This window comes from Homo sapiens, chromosome 13 (genome assembly GCF_000001405.40).
Source record: "Homo sapiens chromosome 13, GRCh38.p14 Primary Assembly".
NCBI lineage: Eukaryota > Metazoa > Chordata > Mammalia > Primates > Hominidae > Homo > Homo sapiens.
The window spans coordinates 51,279,761-51,305,463 of record NC_000013.11 but is presented as its reverse complement, the minus strand read 5'-3'; the positions used below and the strand labels follow the sequence as shown (position 1 = coordinate 51,305,463).

The 25,703-nt window shown below is 45.7% G+C and overlaps 1 protein-coding gene across 4 annotated transcripts in view, besides 3 other annotated features; it reads right to left on the bottom strand.

Annotated features, from left to right (window-relative positions):
- Window positions 1,977–2,271: a silencer, noted in NCBI's record as "tiled region #8155; K562 Repressive non-DNase unmatched - State 22:ReprW". NCBI's record gives its function as "represses a minimal TATA promoter and a strong SV40 promoter by Sharpr-MPRA in K562 cells {active_cell/tissue: K562}" and the evidence as "EXISTENCE:reporter gene assay evidence [ECO:0000049][PMID:27701403]".
- Window positions 21,225–25,703, bottom strand: part of FAM124A (family with sequence similarity 124 member A) — a 61,842-nt gene continuing 57,363 nt past the window's right edge. For all 4 annotated transcript variants that reach the window (XM_011534978.3, NM_145019.4, XM_017020419.3 and 1 more), the window contains one exon: window positions 21,225–25,014. In XM_011534978.3, the coding sequence (XP_011533280.1) occupies window positions 24,998–25,014 (17 nt within the window). In that variant the 3' untranslated portion in view covers window positions 21,225–24,997. The remainder of the gene's footprint in view (window positions 25,015–25,703) is intronic.
- Window positions 24,052–24,707: an enhancer, noted in NCBI's record as "H3K4me1 hESC enhancer chr13:51854893-51855548 (GRCh37/hg19 assembly coordinates)". NCBI's record gives its function as "activates a minimal SCP1, AML or CMV promoter by ChIP-STARR-seq in naive H9 embryonic stem cells {active_cell/tissue: H9 hESC(naive)}" and the evidence as "EXISTENCE:reporter gene assay evidence [ECO:0000049][PMID:30033119]".
- Window positions 24,708–25,364: an enhancer, noted in NCBI's record as "H3K4me1 hESC enhancer chr13:51854236-51854892 (GRCh37/hg19 assembly coordinates)". NCBI's record gives its function as "activates a minimal SCP1, AML or CMV promoter by ChIP-STARR-seq in naive H9 embryonic stem cells {active_cell/tissue: H9 hESC(naive)}" and the evidence as "EXISTENCE:reporter gene assay evidence [ECO:0000049][PMID:30033119]".

Sequence of the window (25,703 nt, the reverse complement as noted above, 5' to 3'; positions counted from 1 at the left end):
CCCAGTGGGTAAGAAGCACACACATTGCTCAGGGAGAGGGACGTTATCACAGGGGAGCAGAGGAAAAAAAAATGGCTGAATGATGGCCAAGAAAAAGCCCCCAGCATCAATATTGGTGAAGATCATTTGGAAGATCATTCTGTGGAAATGATCTTCCATAGAAGACCTTTTAATTATTACTTTCCAGTAGTTTTCTTTTCTTTTAAATAAAGGCAGAATGCAATAACAGGTCAAATAATTGCACAATCGCTAATGAGCTAAGGTGACACTGGCTGAATCAAAGGGTGGTGGCTTGGAACTGCTGGCATCAGCAGTCCCACTATCATGTAATTGCTCAGTCTGGAAATGTCTTTGGCCTTCTTATTGTCCTCCTGTTACAGGAAAGGGGTCTTGATCCAGACCCCAAGAGAGGGTTCTTAGATCTCACGCAAGAAATAATTCAGGGCGGGTCCACAGAGTCAAGTGAAAGCAAGTTTTTTAAGAAAGTAAAAGAATAAAGAATGGCTCCTTCATAGGCAGAGCAGACCTGAGGCCTGCTGATTTGCCATTTTTATGGTTATTTCTTGGTGATATGTTAAACAAGGGGTGGATTATTCATGCCTCCCCTTTTTAGACCATATAGGGTAACTTCCGGATGTTGCCATGGCATTTGTAAACTGTCATGGTGCTGGTGGGGGTGTAGTAGTGAGGATGACCAGAGGTCACTCTTGTGCCCATCTTGGTCTTGGTGGGTTTTAGCTGGATTCTTTACTGCAACCTGTTTTATCAGCAAGGTATTTATGACCTGTATTTTGTGCCATCCTCCTGTCTCATCCTGTGACTTAGAATGCCTTAACCATCTGGGAATGCAGCCCAGTAGGTTTCAGCCTCATTTTACCCAGCTCCTCTTCAAGATGGAGTTGCTCTGGCTCACATGCCTCTGACACTCCCTGCCCCAACACCAGAAGAGCAGGCCCAGGGAAGGGCAAGGGAGGCCATGTCCCTCCATGCCCTCCACACAGTGCTCTTCTGGTGTTATTAGCTGGCAGGAGCTCATTGTGCCCATCTCGTCCTTCCCAACTCTGTGTTGAATGACATCACCTTTGGAAACCCACCATATGGGGAAGATTTAACCACAAGAATCAGCAAAATATACCAATTGGTGCTTTTTCCACTTGCCATCCCTAAGTTGAGATGGGTGGTGGGGAATCATGTGAGTCAAATAGGATTGAGATTTAAAAATGGACAAGACTAAGACTTAATCTCTCTCTCTCTCTCTCTTTTTTTTTTTTTTTTTTTTGAGATAGGGTCTCACTGCACTGCCCAGGCTGGAGTGCAGTTATACAATCACAGCTCCCTGCAGCCTCAACCTCCTGATCTCAAGTGATCCTCCTGTCTCAGCCTCCTGAGTAGCTGGGACTACAGGCACATACCACCACACCCAATTAATTCTTTTTATTTTTAGTATTCTTTTTGTAGAGACACAGGGTCTTGCTATGTTGCCCAGGCTGGTTGTGAATTCTTGGGCTCAAGTGGTCCTCCCACCTTGGCCTCCTAAATTGTTGAGATTACAGGAATGAGCCACTGTGCCCAGCCAGTTATTTACTATCTAAATAACAGAAAATTATTGAAAAGCTATTAAATGGGGCTGAAGTGTTCTTAAGGAAGCCTGGTACCCAGCAGAAAAGTTGAATGTGGCAAAGCATAATGGTATACTGGGAAAATAATCTGTTTCATGTCTATCTTTCCTAAATCAAACCTCCTCAATCAAACTGCATACCTCTATGAAACTAAAGAGGTTGAAAAGGGCCCTTTTTAATCAAGAGCTGCTGCTGCTGAACACACTATGAAGTATTGGGGGTCCCAAAGAATTGTTTCCCAACATGATCCTTGAGCCCTTTCTCACCTTTGGATTTGAGCCACTGTGACCTCTTGACCACAGAGCAGCTGCTGATGGGTTAAAGGCCTTGTCTGTCTCCTGCCTCCCCAGGCTCCTGAGGGTCCTCCAAATGGCCTGGCAGGGAGGGCAGATTAACACATGGTGGCTGACAGCTCTTAACACTCTGGAGGTGTAGGGGGACCCAAGGGCTTCTGCTTCGGCAGAGCTGGTGCTGGCTTTGGAAGCAGATTCTGTAGAAGTGGCAGGAGCCCCCTCCCTCTGGTACTTAGGCCATTTCTAAGGATGAGCAGCTGTGCAGAGAATTAGTTCTTTTGCAGAACAAAATCCTTCAAGGAGACTAATTGTTTTTATAATAGGACTTTCACAGGAAGGAGAAAAAAAAAAACCTCTCTCATAAAAGCAAATGGATTCCCTGCTCGGAATGCACATCTTCTGCCCAGCAGGTACTGAAATGCAGATGGTGCTTTTACATTCCCAACTGGGGATTTAATGAGGAAGGAAGGGGTCTAGCTCTCAAACACTGGCAACGCATTTTCCCTTTTCTTTGAGATTCACTTGGGGAAGGGGGATGTCTACTTTAAATGAAAGACAAAATATTCAAGATTCAGATGAATTCAAATCGAGAATTTAAAAAAGGGGGTACCCCCACAGTCATTCCTAGGCTGACAATATTTTAAGAACCAAGCCTGTTGCCCACAAGGTGCCAATCTGAAGCGATTTTAGGAACATCAAGATGGTTTCCATACCAGTTAGGACCAAGCTTGGATGAAACAAAAACCAAATCACAGTAGCATAACCCAAAAGGGATCTGGTTTTTGAGTGTAACATAAAGTCTGATGCAGACAGTTTACGGGCTGGTGTAGCTGCTCAAGGAAGCCACCGTGGACCAGGCCTCTCTGGCTTCCAGCTCCTCCTTCCTTAGCGTGGGGTGCCTCTGCCTGGGGTGGCAGGATGGCTTCTCCTCCTCTGGGCATTGCCCCTGAGTTACAGGCAGGAAGAAGGGCAATAGGCAAAGTGCAAAATGATGGGCCACGATCCAGCAATCACACTTCTTGGTGCTTACCCTATGAGATGAAGACTTCCGTCCACACAGACACCAGCCACAGATATTTATAGCAGCTTAATTCATAATTGCTGATATAGTTTGGCTGTGTCTCCACCCAAAGCTCACCTTGAATTGTAATAATCCCCACATGTTAAGGGTGGGGCCAGGTGGAGATAATTGAATCATGAGGGCAATTTCCCCCACACTGTTCTCGTGGTAGCGAATAATTCTCACGGGATCTGATGGTTTTATAAAGTGCAGTTCCCCTGCACAAGCTCTCTTGCCTGCTGCCATTAAGATGTGACTTTGCTCCTTCTTTGCCTACTGCGATGATTATGAGGCTTCCCTGGCCATGTGGAACTGTAAGTGCATTAAACTCCTTTCCTTTATGTATTACCCAGTTTTGGGTATGTCTTTATCAGCAGCGTGAGAACAGACTAATAGAATCACCAAAACTTGGAAGCAACCGAGATGTCTCTCAGTAAGTAAATGGATAAACTGTGGTACAACCAGACTGTGGAATATCATTCAGTGCTAAAAAGGAATGAGATGTTAAGCCGTGAAAAGGTGAAGGAAACAAGTGCATATTGCTATGTGAAAGAAGCCAATCTGAAAAGGCTATGATTCCAACTATATGATGACATTCTGAAAAAGGAGTAACTGTGGAGTCAGTAGAAACATCAGTGGTTACAAGGAGTTACGGGAGAGAGGGATGGATGAATAGGCAGAACACAGAGGATTTTTCGGGCAGTGATGTGGTTGGATGTCTGTGCCTTCTAAATCTCAGGTTGGAATGTGATTCCCAATGTTGGAGGTGAGGCCTGGCGGGAGTTGATTGGATCATGGGGGTGCATCCCTTATGAATGGTTAGCAGCAGCCACTTGTTGATAAGTGAGTTCTTGCTCAGTTCACAGAGATCTAGTTGTTTAAAAGAGTCTGGGACTTCCCCCTTCTCTCCCTCTCACTCGTTCTCACCGTGTTAACTCCCTCGCTCCCTTTCACTGTCCATCATGAGTGGAAGTTTCCTGAGGCCCTCACCAGAAGCAGAGGCCAGCTCCGTGCCTCCTGTACAGCCTGCAGAACTGTGAGCCAAAGTAAACCTCTTTTCTTTATAAATTACCCAGCTTCAAGGATTCCTTTATAGCAAGGAAAACTGACTGACATAGGCAGTGAAACTCTTCTGTAAGGTACTACGGTGGTGTGTATGTGTCACACACTTGTCCAAGCCCGTGGAAAAGACAACACTGTGAGTGAATCCTAATGTAAACACTGTGGAATCTGGGTGATAATGACATGTCCATGTAGGGTTCGTTGACTGTGACAGATGTTCCACTGTGGTAGGGGATGCTGATAGTGGGAGAGGTTGTATGTGTGTGGGGACAGGGGATATAATGGAAGTCTCTGTACCTTCTGCTCAATTTTGCTATGAATCTAAAACTGCTCTAAAAAGTCTATTAAGAAAAGTAACGGGCTAGTTGAGTCTGCCCCTTTTCATCAACAAAATAATAGCTTCCATAGAAATCCCTCCCATTAGACTTTTGCTTATACCCCAAAAGCCAGAACTGGGTCACCTGACCACCTGGGCTGCAAGGGAGTGACTATTTTTAAACAGTACATTGCTGTTCCCCTCCCACCAAATTGGAATACTGTCAATAGTGAAGCAAGGAAGACCGGGTGTTGGGCCGACAATCTGAAGTGTTCGCCACAGATTCTCCTCCCACCAACTAGCAAATATTTGTTCCACTGGGTGCCTGATACCAAAAATGGGCCAATTAGTAGTAACTTATCCCTTTTACTTAAAGCATTGTTTTCTGTTAAACTGCAGTACCTCTGGGAAGGTAGCCTATAAGCACTATAAGCATTGCCGGTCATTTTTTTTTTTTGAGATGGAGTCTCACTCTGTTGCCCTGGCTGGAGTGCAGTGGCACAATCTCGGCTCAATGTGACCTCCACCTCCTGGGTTCAAGTGATTCTCGTGTCTCTGCCTCCTGAGTAGCTAGGATTACAGACATGCGCCACCACTCCTGGCTAATTTTTGTATTTTTAGTAGAGATGGGGTTTCACCACGTTGGCCAGGCTGCTCTCAAACTCCTGACCTCAGGTGATCCGCCCGCCTCAGCCTGGGATTACAGGCATGAGCCACCGTGGCATTGTCAGTCATTTTCATACCTCAGGATGAGTGAACTTTTCATATTTTCAGAGATCAGTTTTCCTCCAGGTCCAATTACCCAGAAGCCCCCCACCTGGGTGTCTGGGACTCTGGAGGCTCTCCATGGCTGTAGGAGGTGCCGCTTCCTGGTCAGGGTATACGAAGCCAAGTCCAATGTCACTGTTCCCTAGGCAGGCACAAGAGCCATCTCACACCGTTCCTCTATGGAGGACATTTATTATGAAAGTGGGTACCTGGATCCTTGAACAACCTTTTCCCGCAATTATTTGTTTTGCTTCCTCATGGGAGAAGGCAGAACTCACTTGGTCAGTCTTCCCTGGGAGCTGGAACACGGGCTTTGACAAAGGCACCCACAAAGAAGTGTTCCTATACAGAGCAATGGGAGGAAGGACCACAGCACCTTCCAGACTCCACTTTCTGGGCTGCAAGGTTGTCTTGCAGCAGCAGTAACAGCAACAGAGGCTCGGGTTCTGGGCATGGGTCCTGCACAGACCCCAAACTGACTGTTTGGCTCTTCCAGGGATTCAAAAGCTAACTCCTTTTTTTTTTTTTTTTTTTAACAAATCCTTGCTGCTTAAACAGCTAGAGGGGTCTTGTTTATAATTCGTAATTCGGCCTGGCATAGTCTTACAACCTGTCCTCCTTATACCGCTGTCTGAAACACAGGCTACTTTGGGCACCTGTCCTCTCCCCCATGCTCATGGTCATGACTCTGTGTGTGTTCTCTTCCCATCCCACAGCCTCCCTCTCCCCTCGCTGATCCCTACAGAAACACCACTCCGTGGTAAGTACGTTCCTGCACACTCGGGCCCTCTACCATGTGGCTGGAGTGGAACCATAGACCCTGCCCTGGGGTTGCGATCCTTCTTTCTGACCCCACACACCCTGAGCCAGGCTAGGGGAGGGCCACCATCTCCATCCATGTCTCCTCTGCTTTGTAGATGGCGTCTGTGCCTTTCAGGGACAAAGCATCTGGTCCCATGTCTTCATCCATCACATCTGATGCCCCAGCTCACTGAGGTGGCACATGGCTCTGAACTGCAGTCTCATGTCTTCTCTGACTGCTTACTTGGCCCTCATAAGGGCTGCCTTGGGTGGGTAACCACTTACTTTACACAGTCAGATTCCACACCTCCAAGGACCAGGTCTCAGATCATATTTCCTCATACGTGGAATCCTTGAGTCTAGTTCCATGTTCTGTGCATAGTAACCCCTCAAGAAATGCTTGATCTTACTATTTTTAGTGGATCAAAATCTGTTTAACCTCTCCTTTTTCTTTCATGGCTTCTGTATTGCAAGTCTCATCTTCCTAAGATAAACACTCCCAAACTACATCTCCCAGAATCCCTTGAAACTGGATACAGCCATGTGATTTAGTCAGAAGCACACATGCAAGACAGGAATGGAAACTGAACAATGGTGGGCAATGTAGGGAGGCTGACCTCCTGGTAAATGTGGTGGCAGAGGCTTCTGGCTTTTCTGGGGCAGTTTTAGTGGAGAATCTGATGCCTAGTTCCAGGCATAATCAGCACCAGTGTCACAGCAGCAGTGGCTTGTCTGCTAGAAACATTCCAAAGAGCAGTTTGGTCTCCTTCCTTCCTTATTCCTGCAGTGTGGCATTCAAGCTTGGTCTCTGCCCCTTCGCAGACTCTGGGATCTGTCTGGCACACTTTCACAAATTTCTTTCTACATTCAACCAGGAGACTGGATTCTGTTGTTTACAGCTAAGAACTACATCAAACCAAGTGGTGGGCAGACAGGACCGCGTCATGATTTAAAGGATGGTTTTTGCAATCCGACAGATCTGGGTCTGAAACTTGAGCCAGCTAGTAATTAGCTATATACTATTGGATATCTTACTTAATCTCACCAAGTCTCTCTTCTCTCATCGATAAAATAAGTAACTAAAACCTATCACACTGGGTTGTTCTGAGGATTCATAAGAAAATATAAAGCATTTAGCACAATGCTTGGCATATAGTTGACACTCAGTGAATAAAAGGGTAGCTAATTCCAGTGAGGTATGCATACATTCTCTCTTTTAATTTATTATTTTAGAATTTTTCTGTGATAAAGATGCAAAACAAAGGACTGGAAATGGCTGGAGGTAAAAGCTCCTCTCTCTCGTAGAGGTGGTTTTCCCCGCCGTCCTACTCCATGGGACATCTGGAATCCTCTGGAAGCCAACAATGGGTTGGGGCCAATCACTGTCTTTCTAGAATGTGGGTTGGTCTTTCTCCTCTGGACATTGGTTTTGTCACTGGTCTACTTAGGCTAATGCTATGATGACCCTGCAGATCATTGGGATGGATCAGGAGTGGAAGACTACAAACATTAGTATCAGGCATGACTTCAGCAAAGGTATTGCAAATATATAATTTTAGTCATTATAAGAACAGCTTCTATTAATGCATATGTCTCTGTTCCTTCATCACACACTTTTCCTCAGCATTTAAATCTTTCATCCTGGACTCATTCTCCATTTGGTGAATCTTCTTTGGTTATTTCTGCTTCAGCTGTTTAGATCATGCTGGTTCCGGGGCCCTGCTAGAGATCTGTGGTGGGAGTGAGCTGCCAAATGCCTGGGAGACATTTGCAATTTAACAGGCCTGTCTCACCTACAGTGCCATCTTTCTGCTGTCTAGAGGTGATGCATTGCAGGAGGGATCTCAGACAGTGTAATTAAGTGAACAGACAAAAATCCAGTTGGGCAGGACAGCTGCTTCGAAGACCCTATATTGGTTATAGCAAATCAAATGCTCAGATTCCCAAAGTGATTGTATTTAGATGAGGAAAAGCTGGGCAAACTCATGGCTTGAGGGGCTCTGTGGCAAGTGCTGACCTGCGCAAAGGGCCTCTGTGCAAGAGTGAAGTCCATGTGTGGAACCAGGGACTCATTTCACTGCGTGTTCCTGATGCTTCATCCTCATTTGTTTCTTCTGACGATGGCGGGACTCAGCTTCATCCTTTCTTCCCTCCGCTCCACTCCTACCCTTCATCCCTCCCTAATTCCAGATGAACGTTATAACTTGCCAAATAGAGCAAATTGGTATGAATTTTGTTATGAGAATTGATGACATCCTTCAACAGAGTTAGAAATGTCACAGATCTGATTTGACAAACTGTCTGATCTTGGCTGCATTTCTATTCCTTTCTGTGCTGGATTATCCTTATTTGTGAGAAGAATTTTAAAATACCCATCTTTGGTGTCCCCCATGGGGTACTGTGGAGACATAAATCCTCCCCCCTTTAATCCAAAGTGGGTATGGAGTGCTTTAGTGATGCTAAAGACACCATTGAAGACCTTTCAGAAATGCATGGGAGTCAAGACCTCTCAGAAATGCGGGGGAACCCCACCAAGCCTTCACCCCCACTCTCTGGGACCACAGTGGTGAGGAGGAGTAGAGAGGGATGTGTCTCTCTGGTCCCTCTGGGGGACCATTTGATTTCTCCCATCCTTGTATCTGTCCTTCTTACCCTCTACTTATTTCCCTCTCCTCTCTCTTTCTGCTGCAAACATCAAAATGGTGGAAGAATTCAGCTCCTGATTGTGAGTGACAGGAAGCTAGAGACTCATTCTCATTTCTTCTTCCTCTCACCCCAAACCAGGAAGGTGAAGAGCCCCCAGAGTTCCCTTGCCCAGGCCCTCCTGGATGCAGAGGGAATAAGCTGGTCTCCCTGTCAAACCACAAGTGTGACAAGGACACTTCCAATGAGAATATGTGGCCCTAAGTGCACTAACTGACCATGGATGGGGCCTGAAATTATGTTTATATAACTTTCATAAAGCAGATCTTTCATGTGTCATACATGGATACTCCTGCCTGCTTTTCAAAGGCAGAGTTCAGACTCAAACTCAGCACATTTCTGCTTCAGGCAGGACCTTCCCATTGAAAAGACAATCCACAGTGAGTCTCGTTAATGACCATAACTAAGTCATAAGGATAGAGTTTTGCTAAATCTGTTTAGGACTTCTGAAACCTGTGTCCCCGGTGACTAGAGGCTGTTCCTGCCAGATTTTTACCATCAGGTTCAACTGCCACCTCTGAGAAGAACAGGATTGTGACTTGGGCTTACAGTTAAATATGTGAATAAGACATTAATATTTTGTTAACAAAATAATAATAAAATAGGTTATACCAGATGTGCTGGTTTTATTATTCTTGTTTTAGAGGAGCTTGACTTAAGAAATATTTCTGCTTGGAAGAACTTTCTCACAGCTTATTCTAACAATTTTACCCCCTTCAAAACCTAGCTCAGTTGTTATTTGCCTTTGCAGAATTGAGTCCTCACTTCTCTATAAGCATAAAGTGCTCACATCATTCGTCACACACCTCACTCTTCTAAGTTTTACTTCACCTGCTATATCCTAAACTCCTTAGGGGAAAGTTAATGTTATGTACAACTCACATGTTCTGATGAAATTTACAATACTCAGTACATTTATTTAAAGGAATGAATGAATAGATGATGATAGTCTACTCCTAGCTAGTTGTGTGATCCTGGACAATTTCTTATCCTGTCTCTGTCTGTTTGCTCATGTGTAAAATGGTGATCAACTACAACCTCCTATGTTTAAGATAGAATGAGATCATGTATATGAAGTACTTAGCAAAAGGCCTGGCACACTGAGTTCTTAATACATGTCAGCTGTTTATTCTATCATTACTAACACAGAATGTATTTTTCAGCAGGTACATTGAGGTAGGGTGGTTTCTTTGCTGAACGAGGACGCAGTGGTAAATGATGAATAGATACGATCAATAGTATTCCATAAAAGCAAAGTAACAGCTATAAAGTGAGAGTAATTTCAACTGGTAAAATAATGCTTCAAGTTCTATATACAATAACAGGCAGTTTCCAGAAGGGTCTCATGTACTCTACATTCAGCACATAAAAATACAACTCAGCCTTATCATAAATTTGATCTATAGCCCAGATAACTGTGTCCACTCTCAAGTGAACTCATATTGTGCTGGTCTCCCTGTGACACAGCGTGGCTTTGGTGGGTATTTTTGGTACGCTGCTATTTTACAAGGACTCTCCAAGGAATGTTAAATTGATGCCTATTTCTTTCTGCATTCATTTCCCCATAGCAAGCAGAGGCCTTTGCAATCACTCTGTGACCTTCAGGTCAACACCAAAAGTAGATTTGGTCAATATCTATTGATGATGATGGGAGGCAGTTTCTCTCACTGGACAGTCTTTTTGCAAAGTCAGAGCTGGATACAGCATTTCTCCCCTTCATGGCCTCCAACTTTTCCAATTTCGCCAAAGCTCCTCTATATCCCTCTCCTCTGGCATCCTGCACTGATTTTCCCAGACCAAGTGCAAACAAGTGCTTCTGTTAGGAAGCTTTCCCTAGTGTCCACTAAGAGTTCCTTGCCTCCCCTCCTGCAGGATTGTTCTTGTTTGCACTACTGCAATTACCTTATTGGAGAGCAGGTGTATGTTTAAACATTTGTTTTTACCAGTAGAGTGTGAACCATTAGAAGGCATGGATCTGCCTTTGATAAGTTTTCCATTTCTGTGTTGTACCAGGAGAATTTTGGCAGCAGAGGGACAGACAGCTATGAGGCCTTCTCTGAGCCTTCTTTGGGCAAAGAGCCTGTCACACACAGGACCAGGGTTCCACTCCAGTGGCCCTGATGGCTGATACCAGGTAGCAGCCAGCCCCTTCCTCGATTTCCCAGGACCACATAAGCCCATGTTATTATGTGATCCCTGGAGAGAGTATGGGAACCTCAATGAGGGCTGGGATCAAATTCATTATGGGAATGGCAGGTGGGTGCTTAGGGAGGTAACATTTGATCTCTCTCTATATATGTGTATATGTTTATATTCCCATAGAAACAAAGGAATCTGAAAAATCATGTACCCTAAAGTTGTGGTCTAAAGTTATACAAACACCTGATCAATGCTTATCATTCATTTCATTCATCCCTTCAACAAATATCTATTAAGCATTGGTTAGATGCCTGGCCCTGAAAGACAATGGTGTATAAGTTACAGGTAACCTCTGCTGTCATGAAAAGTACTGTAGTCAGGGTGTCAGATAAAAAATAATGCCAGATACAAATATATACATTTATAGATTATAATCACAAAGGAAAAAAGAGTAGAGGCTGAGCTGGAGAATAAAAAGAATGGAGGGAAGGGGCCGGGCGTGGTGGTTCATGGCTATAATCCTAGCACTTTGGGAGACGGAGGCAGGTGGATTGCCTGAGCTCAGGAGTTCGAGACCAGCCTGGGCAACATGGTGAAACGCTGTCTCTACTAAAAATATGAAAAATTAACCGGGTATTGTGGTGTGTGCCTTTAATCCCAGCTACTTGAAAGGCTGAGGCAGGAGAATTGCTTGAACCCAGGAGGCGGAGGTTGCAGTGAGTCAAGATTGTGCCACTGCACGACAGAGTGAGACTGTCTCAAAAAAAAAAAAAAAAAAAAAAAAAGAGGCCGGGCATGGTGGCTCACGCCTGTAATCCCAGCTCTTTGGGAGGCAGAGATGGGTGGATCGCTTGAGGTGGGGAATTCGAGACTAGCCTGACCAATATGGAGAAACCCCATCTCTACTAAAAATACAAAATTAGCCAGGTGTGGTGGTGCATGCCTGTAATCCCAGCTACTCGGGAGCCTGAGGCAGGAGAATTGCTTGAATCTGGGAGGCGGAGGTTGCGGTGAGCCGAGATCACATCACTGCACTCCAGCCTGGGCAACAAGAGCAAAACTCCCTTTCAAAAAAAAAAAAAAAAAGAATGGAGGGAAGGGATGCTTGTGGGTAGGTAGATGGATAGGTACGCAGATAAAGATAGATGGTCAATGAAGGCCTTTTAGAAGAGATGGCATTGAAACAGAGACAGGAGGAATAAGAAGTGGCTGTGGGCAAAGAAAGGAGAAGGGCATCCCTGACTGAGGGAACTGCACATGGAAAGGTCTTGCAGAGTGTTTGATGAAATGCAAGAAGTTTGGTGAGACTGGGAGATAGAGAGCAAAGCAGAGGCAGCGGGAGACAAGGCTGGGTGTAGATGGAAGGGCTGGGTCATGCAGGGCTTTGTGGCCTCTGCACAGACATTTGTATTTTTAGTTCAAGGCCAATGGTAAGGCGCTGAAGGACTTTAAGCAGGATAGCAACATGATCCAATTCACAGATTCTGTCACCTTCTCTCCTCCGTTTGTTTCTTTACTTACATGTTTTCCTACTGGGCTATGGCTGCCGGCGAGCCCGTGCGGCAACTGTCTTGTAGGGAGGCTTTTCACTGAATACTTTCAGGTGGTCTCATGGTGCCTCTTGTCCTGGGACAGATTGGGGCATGCCTATCTCCCTGAGGTCTGACCAGCCTCCAAGGAAGGTGGCCTCAAAGCAGTGGATGTACTGAGAAGAAAGGCCAGAGCTTTGAGCACAGAGAGGTAGCTGCACACCTTGAACCTGGCCAGCCACCGCCCTCCTCCTCAGTTAGCCTTTGGCTCCCAAATGCTGGCCATTGCACTGCACTTCCCAGGAAACCTAGTGTCGGGGAGTCTGCTGGTTTCCATTTGATTTTAAAAAGAAGTAAACAATTGCACAGTGAGTGCACGGATATGGTGAAAATGCAAAGCAAATAACAAAGTCTGCAACTGCAGCTCCAGGGAGTGGTTCCCACTCTCAGAGAGATTCTCGGTGCACAGCCCCAGCCCCACTCCCGGAGGACCCCATCTGTTGGTTTATGTTATACATGTGGCTTTAGAGGTGCAGAAGACTGATCCTGAGAAAAAATTGGAAAGTGACAATGAAAACAATTTCCAGTCTGAGGCAAAGAAATAGGTCAAATACCTGAACTCCCGGCCCTATCTTGAAATGCTATAATTCTCACCTTCAAACAGAGCAAGCAGGCGTATTCAAGCCATTCTAATGCTCCTTTTCAAACCTGTGGCTCCAAGCCAGTTGGGTTTGGAATCTACTCAGTTTGTGTTTTTGCCAAGAGTTTTGTGGGTAAAAAGTTTAAAAATAGCTATATACACGTAGGATGTCTGTAGGGGAATGAGGGTAAATTCTAGTTTGGGAAAAGGTTCTGTAAGCAAATGCCCTCAGTGTTTAGCCTTAATGTTAGCAAAGACAAGAAACATTTCAGAGATCAAAGTAACAACCTTGCCCTGCTCTTGGTCCGAACCAAGATGCAACTGGATCCATACGAGAGTGTGGATAGAGTGACTCAGAAATACATCATGAGGGCATTTAAAGGCCCGGAAAAAATAATTAAAATTTAAAAAGAGGTAAGGGAGGAAGAGGGAGAGAAAAAGTCCATATGGACAGGCTTGAAAAGTCAGGACTCTTCAGCCTGGAAGGATGAAGACAAATAGGATCAGAACCAAAACAGAGTAAATGGCTGAGGTTAAGGTAGACACAAACAGGCTCAGTAATGGCCTCATGTGTTTTCCTCTGTGCACATGATTTCTCCCTGTTGACCCTCCAGGACATTTGAATATCATGAAATAAGCAGCCTGATCAGGGTAGGGGCCTTGACACAGGAATGTGATAATGGGGTTTATCATGAAAAGCACATCTGCTGGCAGCAGAGAGGCTGCCCTGTGCACATAAAGCACTCACACATGCATTCCTTCAAATCTTATTTATCCAGGTCCTATTTTGGACCAAGGACTAGTTTATAATTGGCCTGGGTAGATAAGCCATATGCCTAAATCACTACAAGTCTAAATAACCTGTGATTTGTCCTTAGTCAAGGATGACCTCATGAATTTTAGCAGGAGGACGTGTGCTCTGGCAGGGATAACTGGGCAGGCTTTCTGAAAGAGGCAGTGTTTGCACTGGGCTTTGGTAGACAGCAGGAGTTTGATGGGCAGAGATGGTGAGTCACAGGAATAATCTGAGCTTTGGCCCAAAGGTGGGAGAGCCCAAGGTATGTTTGGTGGAGAGTTAAGAGCCCGTTTGGCTGGAGCATGTAACAGTGAGTGCCGAGATAGCAAAGGTGATGGGGCCAGGCAGCAAAGGCCTCCAGAGCGTGTCTGGGAAAAGGGCTTTTTTACTCGGCAAGAGGGAGGCATGGGATGGTCTTGAGCAGAAGGATGTGCAAAGATCTTTTAAAAAATAATTGGTAGTTGTGTGTAGATGGACAGGAGTAGATTGATGCTGGGCCAGGAGATAGTTGGGAATCTATGGCCACAACCTTGGAAAGTGGTAACCCAGCTCATCATGATGATGGGTACAGGGCATGACTCTCAGGCAACAAAATCAGGGGTGTAAAAAATACTTCTGCGTTTTCTTTAAACCAAATTAATTCTGACTGGAAGCTATCATCCTGTGTGTCATTGAAAAATTCCATTGTAATCATAACTGGGGACCCCTCCTCTGAATAGGGACACAGTAGACTCTAGAAGGATTATGTAGTAAGTGATGATGGGGATGGGCCTCTGCTCTCTTGTGGTGCTACTGACAACATCCTTACCGTCCCAGCCCACAGTGGCCCACGAGGGCAGTTTCTGTACCATAAAGACAAATATGCCGAGATGTGGAGTATTAGAGGAGTATTAGAATGTCCCCACTTTACAGATGAGGAGACTGAGTCACAGAAGGTTAAGGAAGTTGTTCAAGTTAAGGATTAGAAGACCCTTGCTCTAACCACTAGTTTATCCCACCTGTGTAACTAAGGTGGGAGGGAAAGGAAGGAGCAGAAACACACAACACACAAAACCTGGAGAGGACAAATGAGATGGAGGGGACAGATGTGATGTGATGTGAAGGTGCAGAACACTCAAAGGGGGCTAGGGTTCTCCAGGTTTTCATTTTTGTTTTAGACAGGGTTTCACTCTGTCACCCAGGCTGGAGTGTAGTGGTACCATCATAGCTTACTGCAGCTTCAAACTCCTGGGCTCAAGTGATCCTCCTACCTCAGTCTCTCAAGTAGCTGGGACTACAAGGATGCATTGCCATGCCCGGCCAGTTTTTAAATATTTTTTGTAGAGATGGGTCTCACTCTGTTGCCCAGGCTGGTCTCAAACTCCTCCCACCTCAGCCTCCCTAAGTGCTGGGATTACAGACAAGAGCCACAGTGCCCAGCCCAGTTTTATTATCTTTACCTTTTAATTATAAAATTAATAAATGTTTATCATATAAGATGTCAAGTTCAAAAAGGAAAATGAAAAAGAAGAGATACCATCCATGCTTCTACCACCCAGAAGCAAAAGCCATCCTCCTTTGACACACTTTTTTACAATCTATTTTTTCTACAGTATCTTACATGGTCAAGGGCATTTTATTATATTTAACATTCTATCCTGATGTTTTAAAGCTTAAAGTTATGTCAAGCTTTCCCTTTGTTATTAAACATGCTTTGAAGCATTATTTGTCATGGTTGTATAATATTCCATTTCCTGGGCACCTCATTTACTTTTCTTTCTTATGAATGTACTGCACATTCAGGTTGTTCCCCAATGGCTTGCTATTATAAATTGTACTGCGACAAACAAGTGTATAAGTATTTACCTCTGCTTTGGATAATTTCCTTGGGATAGTCTCCCAGAAACTAAATTATCAGACATAAGCATTTTTTTTTAAGATAGTGTTTTACTCTGTTGCCCAGACCAGAGTGCAGTGGCATGATCAAGGCTCACTGTAGCCTGGACCTCCTGGGGCTCAGGTGATCCTCTCACCTCAGCCTCCCAAGTAGCTGGGACCACAGGCATGCACCACCACATCTGGCTAATTTTTTTTTTTTTTAATTTTTAGTAGAGATGAAGTCTCACCATGTTGCCCAGGCTGGTCTCAAACTCCTGGGCTCAAGCGATTGGCTTGCCTCAGCCTCCCAAAATGCTGGGATGACAGGCGTGAGCCACCACACCCTACCTGACATAAGCATTTTTAAGGCTACTGATATATCTATGGCTACAGTTCTTTCCCATGCTAAAAACCATGAATAAACATCATGGAGCATTATCTTCAAAACCTTTGCTAATATGAAAGTTGGAAATGACAGCTCATTGTGCCAGACTTTGCCTCTGGATCTCATTTATTCTTCAGAATGACCCTATGAAGAAGGCTTCATTCCTTAAAATGTTATTATTAATAATCTCTTTTTTTAGTTTATTTTTAAATTGACAAATAATTGTACATATCATAGGGTACGTAGTAATGTTTGGATCCCTATAATCTATAGTGATCAGAGTAATTAACATATCCGTCATCTCAAACATTTATCATTTCTTTGTGTGGGAAACATTCAATATCCCCCTCCTAGTGATTTAAAACTACATAATATTGTTACCTAGAGTCATCCTGCAGTGATACAGGACACTAGAACTTATTCCTCCTGTCTAGCTATAATTTCGTGTCCTCTAACAAATCTCTCCCCTTCCCTCCTTTCCCCCTAACCTTCCCAGCCTCTAGTATCCTCTGTTTTACTTTTTACTTCTAGGAGTTCAAAAGTAATATTAATCTTAATGAATGAGGTTTTGGGAACCCTCTTAAGTTTTGCCCCTGAGGCATGTACCTCACTTACTGCACCCTACTCCTCCCACTTTGCAAATGAGGAACCCAAGAGTGAGAAATGGAATAGCTTGATTAGGGTCACACAGCTAGCAAGTCTGGGTGGGATTCAAAGTCCGATACGTGTGACCCCAAAGCCCTGCTTCTCTCCATTGGGCTATCTTGGTGCTTCACTCTTCATTTTCGAATGTGAATGATGAGAGAGAAGGCGAGGTGGGGGGGGGAGCAGGAGGAGGAGGAGATGGAGGAGGAGGAGGAGGAGATGGAGGAGGAGGAGGAGGAGATGGAGGAGGAGGAGGAGGAGGAGATGGAGGAGGAGGAGGAGGAGGAGATGGAGGAGGAGGAGGAGGAGATGGAGGAGGAGGAGATGGAGGAGGAGGAGAAGGAGGAGAGATGGAGGAGGAGATGGAGGAGGAGGAGGAGATGGAGGAGGAGGAGGAGATGGAGGAGATGGAGATGCTCCTTATTGGTGTAGGGGTGTGTGTGGTGGTTTGGCGTGGATTTGGTGGCACAGGAAAACCCCAAGTCATGGGTATATTGCAGGAAGCTGAAAATTCAGGTCTAGCACCCAGGAAAGTGTGGCTGAATGTGCAAGAGAGGCCAGGCCCATGCAGGATGGGAAAGGAAAGCCAGTGTCCTCCAAATGGAAAGCTCCAGTGTGTACTGAATTTGGAGCAAAGGTGAACAGAATGTGACCATGCAGAATTCCCTGGGTGGGCCACAGGTGGTCAGGTCACAGTCCTGAGCCTGCTGCCAGATTCCCAGGCGCTCACCTCCACAGCTGCAGCCAGTTCACCATTTCCAGCAAGGGTAAAGCTGGCCAGAGGGAATACTCCTGGGAAGCCATTGTGGGGGTAGGGGGCAGTGAGCTCTGAAATGACCAAATGACCAAAGAGGTCACTGCAGGAGTGCAGAACCAGCTCGGGTGATGAACACAGGCCCAGACAGCCACAGAGCTTTATGGCCAAGGAGAATTTCAGAGGCCCTGGCATGAGGTGATTTAGCTCATATCGGGCACAGGAGGCTCATTTTGCAGGAAGTGGAACATAACTCTTGGAGTAGAAATAGGTTGAGGAGTCTCCCGCTGCACCTCAGTTTCCTCTGTTCTGACAGGCTGCATTTTCAGTCTTCAGGCCACTGCTAAGAGCTACGCCCCCGGCAGTCAATCCAGCCTACTCTTTAGTCTCCTCTTGCTTCTTACCTCATTAGGATCTGACACATCTTATGTGATGAGGAAACCTGGGGAGGTAGTAGACGCTTCTGGCCTTGGTTGAACAGGGGCAAGGTTAGCTTCAGAAAGGGAAGCAACCTTATTATCGGCCCTTCTGTTTCTAAACTCTACAGATACGGCCTCAAGAGCATTGGAGAAGCCCAGCCCTCTAGGCTTTCTGCTGAGAGAAATTTCCACCTTGCTGCACAGTGCGGCCGGAGAAGGATGTCTAGGGAGCCTCACCCACAAGCTGTGGGTGCGCTGTCTCCTCCAGCTGTTGCTGATTCTGTCCCCCAAGCAAGAAAGCCCAAGACTTGGTCCAAATTAGTAACCCTACAGAGAAAATCCCTAATGAAAATCCCCTGGTGAGAAAGAGATTTTAGAAATCTGTGCTAAGAAAAACTTGTTTTTTTCTGAGGAACTGTGTTGAGGAAACTTAAATTACAATGAAAGAAGACAGTGTTTCTAGATTCCTTTTTTTTTTTTTTTTTTTTTTGAGACGGAGTCTCGCTCGGTTGCTCAGGCTGGAGTGCAGTGGCACGATCTCGGCTCACTCACTGCAAGCTCCGTCTCCCGGGTTCAAGCCATTCTCCTGCCTCAGCCTCCCGAGTAGCTGGGACGACAGGCTCCCGCCATCACGCCCGGCTAATTTTTTGTATTTTTAGTAGAGACGGGGTTTCACTGTGTTGCCAGGGTGGTCTCTATCTCCTGACCTCGTGATCCACCCGCCTCAGCCTCCCAAAGTGCTGGGATTACAAGCGTGAGACACCGCACCTGGCCTAGATTCTTTAATCGTAAATGAGAACTAGACAGCTACTCATCTCTTTCCCTTTTCGCTCTGGCTTCCAGGAAATTCCAGGAAACTGCTGTAGCAGTTACATTTTTCTTTACGGTGGACATAGTTGTAGACTCCTTTTTGGGGGCCTGCTTTACTATTTGCATTGTGTTGTTTCATTTGGAAATTAAATTGCCTCAATCCTTTGTAGACATAAACAGCTTAAAAAATTAAATGCAGGATAATAAAGTGAAGTTCATCCAGGTGGAGGCTTCTTCAATGAAAAGGGCACTCAGTGACCCTCCCGGGCACAGCGGCCACCAGGTGGCACCAAAGCTTCCCCACAGCCACCTTCAGGGATGCGATTTGGCTTGAAAGCGTTTCTGTTTAGCTAGCCGGCCGGTTCTTGGGCTGTGCCACACACATTCAGAGTGACTCCAATCCAAAATGCTCTGGGTTTAGCTTTAGGGACTGAGCAAGGCTGATCTAAGGGAGTCAGGCAGCCTCTTTCAGGTGCTCAATTGATAAGATCAATATTTCAAATGTCTCAAATGGACCACTCCCAGCCAGAACAGGGCAGTGGGGCATGGTGAAGCAGCTCCATTTTTCTTTCTTTTTTTTTTTTTTTTTGAGATGGAGTCTTGCTTTGTCACCCAGGCTGGAGTGCAGTGGTGTGATCTCAGCTCACTGCAACCTCTGCCTCCCAGGTTCAAGCAATTCTCCTGCCTCAGCCTCTCAAGTAGCTAGGATTACAGGTGTGTGCCACCATGCCCAGCTAATTTCTGTATTTTTAGTAGAGAAGGGGTTTCACCATGTTAGCCAGGCTGAGCTCAAACTCCTGACCTCAAGTGATTCACCCACCTCGGCCTCCCAAACTGTTGGGATTACAGGTGTGAGCTACCGTACCTGGCCTACAGCTCCATTTTTCTATGCCACCATCCCAGATAACAGGAGGCGACACCCTCATCACAGAGTTCATGGAGGTTGTCAGTGGGACCCAGAAGGGGTCTTTTTGCCTTCACCGTGTATTCTAGTGACTTCAGTCTGAAATGAGTGTGTTGTTCCTTATAGTGGGCACATCACTGGACACGGGTCCTCAGCCCTCTAAGATGGAAATTGTTAAAAAGACCCAAGCCTGCCGACATTACCATTCATGTTTGCCTCCATTATTCACTCAGGGAAATCAGATCTTTTAAAGCCACTTTGTAAATAGACCTCTGTGCCCAAGACTAGAAAAAGCCTTCAGTAAAAGGTGGAAGAATGTACTTATATATAATCTTTAAATTCAGGTTCCTGACCCTTTGTGGTTCCATTTGTTATAATAATAGTGTGTCAAAAGGTGTTTCCCTTGAGAACGCAATTTATTCATGTCAGCTTCTCATGCTATTTTCTGAAGCCTCTGTAGTATCTGATCAATTGTATTTCTCAGGAATGCAAGAGAAGCAGAACCCTACAAATGATGAGCACATGGAGCCATGTGGCCTGGGGCGGAGAAGGAGAGGGTGACTATTCAGCTATTCCTACTTCTCTCCTGAAATTCATACCCAGGGATCACTGGTCAGAACTGGTCACTGATACCGGTCTGAGGGTATGAGGAGGGAGAAGCTGTCCACAGTTGGTTTTATTGCCCTTAAAAATCTTACAGGAATTCAATGAATCTATTCAGATGCCTCTTGGCTGACAGTTTGGAGCACTAATTCATCTACAGAAAGTAGAAAGATAGGCCGGGCGCTCTGTCTCATGCCTGTAATCCCAGCACTTTGGGAGGCTGCAGTGGGAGGAGGGTTAGAGTCCAGGAGTTTGAGACCAGCCTGGGCAACATAGCAAGACTGTCTCTACAAAAAATAAAAAATTAGTGGGGCATAGTGGTGCATGTGTAGTCCCAGCTACTCAGAAAGCTGAGGTGGGTGGATCACTTGAGCCTGGGAGGTTGAGGCTGCAGTAAGCCATGATTGTGCCACCGCACTAAGCCTGGGTGACAGTGATATCCTTCCTGTCTCAAAAAAAAAAAAAAAAAAAAAAAAGGAAAATAGGGAGGTAGGAAGATACCTCCGTTTCTCCTGATTTATTTGTGGCCGGGAGCTCATTCTAAGTAAAGTAAACATGTAGTCTCACCTGGGAACGCACTGGGTGGTACAGTCCAGTTCACTCTGCTGTGACTGTTCCCCTGCCCTCAGACCCGGAGGCTCAAGGAGCAGCCACTACTAAAACCCAATTTATTCAAGCACACATCAACCCTCCCATGTCACAAAAGTCTCTGCAGTGGCTCACCCACTGCTTCCACCAGTTCCTCTTATGCTCCTTTTAACCAGTTGAGGTGACCCAAGATGATTTCTGTAGGACTTGCCAGGTGAGTTGGGGACAGACAGAGAAAGATTTGCTCTTTAAAGCAGACACTAGGTGGTGTTTAGTGTAGGCCAAAGTGGGACCGTGAGCAGTAATTTGGGGTTGAGGGGATCTTACTTGGAAAAGAGGCAAATGAGGGATGGGATGTAACTCAACCAGAGCACTTACCAACACATCCCCTCCCTGGCAATGCTGGAGGAAGCGTAAGGCCAAGGAAACAAGAGACACGGTTCCATTAAGCGACAAAAAACCAGGGCTACAATCTAGACTTCTTACACTACAGAGCCTAATACATAGATATAATTTATGAGACAACCTCAATATTTTTCAATTGAACACATTTATTGAGCACCTACAATGTGCCAGCATCTTTTACAAGGATAATACTCCAAACGAGTCAGGATCCTCCAGAGAGTATTGGAAGCCCTTCTGGATGAGGAAGATGCTACTGGAATGGCCAGGAATGGAAGGGAAGGCTTTGGTAAATGTGTTCCTGTGATTCCCTCTCCGTGGAGGGACTGCCATTTCCATGTGGTCTACAGTGGGCATCCTCTCCCTGCTCACCTGATGCTATGGGAACATTTTGCATTTCTTGCTTTCAAATGTTGTCTATGATGTCCTTTAGGGTCACTCAGTTTGGTAGATTGGACTGTGATGAGGGCGGGTCCAGAGTTGTACTCTAAAGCAGTCCTAGGCGAGCATGTGAGCACACTGAAATAAGGACACTGATTAGGGAGAAAGAAGGAGCCAGCCCTCGGCCATTAGCCTTTTTTTTTTTTTTTTTTTTTTTTTTTTGCCTCACTGACTTTTGTTACTGATGAACTTGCTTCCCTGTTCATTGGAGGTGGTATCATCACCTCTGAATTATTTTTCTCCTTCTTCCTAATGTTTGCAGGTTGCTTTTCCTCATCAGCTATTGACTGAATCACATTTCTGGGCAGAAGGTGGAGTGCTGGTGGCTTTCCAGGAATCAGCTCTGCAGAAAGAAGCTCCTTCCTGTTCTGAGCCCTGTGGTTCTGAAGTCATTGGTCTAACCTGAGTAGCCCACTTTTTTGGCATGACACACCACAGCAGCATTAGGCGGGAGACTTAGAATTTTTGTTGTTGACTGGAGCTGGGATGTTGAATCAACCTCAGGCAGCAGCCTAGCTCAAGGGATAATAAACTATGACCCTTGGGCCAAATCTGGCCCACCAGCTGTTCTTGTAAATAAAGTTTTATTGGCTGGGAATGGTGGCTCATGCCTGTAATCCCAGTGCTTTGGGAGGCCAAGGTGGGTGGATCACGAAGTCAGGAGTTTGAGACCAACCTGGCCAACATGGTGAAACTCTGTCTCTACTAAAAATACAAAAAATTAGCCAGGCATTGTGGTGCGCACCTGTAGTCGCAGCTACTTGGGAGGCTGAGGCAGGAGAATGGCTTGAACCCAGGAGGCAGAGCTTGCAGTGAGCTGAGATTGCGCCATTGCACTCCAGCCTGGGCAACAGAGCAAGACCCCGTCTCAAATAAAAAAAAAATAAAGCTTTATTGGAACTCAGCCATTCCCATTCATTAACATATTACTCATGGCTGCTTTCATACTACAGTGGCAGAGTTGAGTAGCTGCAAGAGACCATATGACTGGCAAAGCCTAAAATACTTATTATCTAGCCCTTTTCAGAAAGTTTGCTTACTCCTTATCCTGAATTAGGAGACTATATTTTTAAAAATTTAAATTAGAGCAGAATATTACATTACAATTCTGAGTGTTAGAGAGTCCAGAATGCTTGGGGCAAGGCCTAAGGCTGTCATTACAAGGATGGCAAAGACTTGAAGCTTCAGCTGAAGACTGATGGTTGGTAACTGCTGCCTGGAGGGTCGTGTTGGAAAGGACTCTGAGGCTGTGTCTGGGCTGGCGTGGGCATTTCCAGAGAGATGAACACTGTGCCATGATTAATTCAAGGAGCACCAGCCTGGGAATTGAGCTTGGCAAACCCATGCTGTTCTTCCTCAAAGGTAAATAGTATCCAGGGACAGCTTGGCACTGCCCCCGATGCCAGCCTTTGGCATTGCTGAGGTTGGGGCTGTAAACAAACATACTCTTACTGAGGTGAGAGGGAGGTGAGATTCAAATACCATTCACGGTGTGACAGTAGCAGATAACAGGCAGGAAAAGCCAAGGTTGCTGGGCTCCAGCGTTAATTAAAGCTCCCATGCAATCATGTGAGGCTGGCAGTGCACTGGTGTTTGTTCAGGAGAGCGTTTCAGGTAAAGTTTCCCGTTTTGGGGAGAACAGCATTATTAATCTGTGTGATCAAAATGCTGGCTAAAATGTTCCAAATCATTTAAAAATGAGAAACATAGGATGCGTGACCCAGCATGGTCACTGCAGAAAGCAGTATACAGTGCGGCTCTTGTCATTTGAATATAGTCCTTAGACTGTGGTTTTTGAAAGTTGAAGGATCTTAAGACTACCTACCCATGATGTCTAATGGCCTATAATTCTGTAATCCCAACAAATGCTCTTCCTCAGTGATCCAAATAAATTCAGGTAGTGGAGTGGTCTTCAGAAGCCCCTCATCCATTCCAGTGAAATGTGCTGTTGAAAAGGTGTATGCAAATCTACTTTCTGGAACTCACATATTTTAAATGCACCAAGAGTCTGTTACTCATGCTAAATCTTTATGAAACACATTAGCAACTTTTGTATAAATCCAGATTTGCAGGTGTTGCATGGCTTCAAGATGAGGAATTACCTGTAGTCTGATATACGTTTACTTCTCAAGCTGACTTTTTCCATTATAAGCAGTGCTTAAACATCCCTAGGGCCACTGTTCTCTGGTAATGTAAATATATATGGAGAATCCAGTAAGGTGTGCGTTACGTTATTATGCAGTAATCCCTCATACAAGTCACTTACTATCTCTCCCACATTCAACGTTTTGGCCTTAATTGATTTGCCTTCATACCATGGAAAAATTGCCAAATTGGTTCTGGCTGACTAGGTTTTCTTTTCATTTCAAATAATTATATAAGCCATTTAAATTGTATAAACCCACTAAACCATACCTCAAATGCTGAATATTCAAAAAATATATTTTATGACAAGTTTGTTGAGAATTTATTTGCATAAAAATGCCAGTATTTTTCTGCTGTGTCTCTAGAGATATACCACCCCCCAGCTAAGAGTGGGTGGTAGGCAAATGTGCTACGGGCTCCTGGGAAATGGATCATGAAGAATGTGGTGTGCTCAGTGGCCAGAGGGGCAGTGGGGCCTGAGTCTGTGTCTCTGAGTTTGTGTGTTTCGAGAACAAGAGCAGAGGGCATTCAGATGTAGAATTCCTCCATGTCGTTATCCCCGGGGCCAGCCGACCCTGGGGGTGGTGGCATGTCTCCATCAGTCTGCTTGACTTTGGGGGTATCGCATGGGAGCTGTGGGGAGGAGTCTGTGAGGGTGGAGGTGCTGGGAGCTGGGGGAGCAGCACGAGCTGTCGCTGAGGAGCTGGAAGACCTTTTGGTGAAGAAAGGGAGGGAAGCCCAGGAGGCCTCTGTGGTCACCCTGCTGACAGTGGGCAGTGGTCCCTCCCTGGAATCCTTGTGAGCTGCCCAGTGGCTGCTGCATCTTTCGGAGGGGAGGGGTGTCTCCACTGTGCTGCAGAACCTACTGGGTGCAGAATATGCAGAGACCACAGACAGGTCCGATGAGGACAGCCGCAGGCCTGTGTCCACGTCTGTCTCCTGGGCCCCCTCTAGGTCATCGATGGAGAGGAGGTGGCCATGCCTCCACTCTGATGCCCTGTGCCCTGGGGCACCTGTGTTTGAAAACCACTGTGGTTCAGCTGAGGAGGCCAGGGAGGGGCCTCCCGTGGGCAAACAAAACAAGGACTTGCTTCTCTGGAAAGACCAGGGAGGGTTGGGGGTGCTGTTGGCTCGTCCGGCAAATTCCTGCTGGTGCCCAGGAGGCAGGCCTGTCCGGATGGGCCCCGGGTGAGGACTGTTGAGCGGGGACTGCTGGCTGCTGCCAGGTGTATGGCTTGGTACAGCAGTGCTCGGCAAAGGAGTGGAATGACGTTTCTTCTCGGAGGCATGATGTACTCTGCCAGGTTTAGGAAACTTCTTATGCACCCTTTGTGCCTGTGGGGGGAGAGGCAGATCACATTAGTGCAGGATGGGAATTGTTAAATGCATCAGGAAACACAGTTACCAATCATTGGAAACTCCTGGCAATGTCATGGCAATAAAGCATTACCAGCATTACCAGTTCTGCAATCTCTAGAGCAAAGACAGAGGTAGCAGAGCTTTGAGGAGCACCAGAAAGAGTTTTCAGTCTGAGGAGCCATCTCCGAGGCTAGGAGGAGATTCAGCTCCTTATCACAATACAGAATACTTTTTAAAGCACACATGCCCATTGCGCTCAACAAACTGGCAAAAAGAACATGGGCCTGGCTGAGCAGGATAACGGAGATAAGAATTATCACAAAATGCAAAAAGAATGCTTGCAGGGTTTCTTTCCTTCCAACCAAAGAATCACAGTGTGCTCACCTGATAGACACTGTTTGTAAATGTTACTGATGAGAGGACAGAAGTGATCAGGATGGGCTATGCAGAGACAATTTCAGACCAGATCCACATGGGGTGTGATTCTAGTATATGCATGATAGCCAGGACACAGTCTTAGGGTGGGGTGGTCCATGGTTCCAGACAGTAAATCCTCCATGAGTGAGGGGCTATCGGGGTTAGCATTTATCTACTTGTTGCTAGTAACTACTGATTCCTCTATATACGTTACCTTTCAGGAACTGTGTACAGGAAAGGGAGCTGCC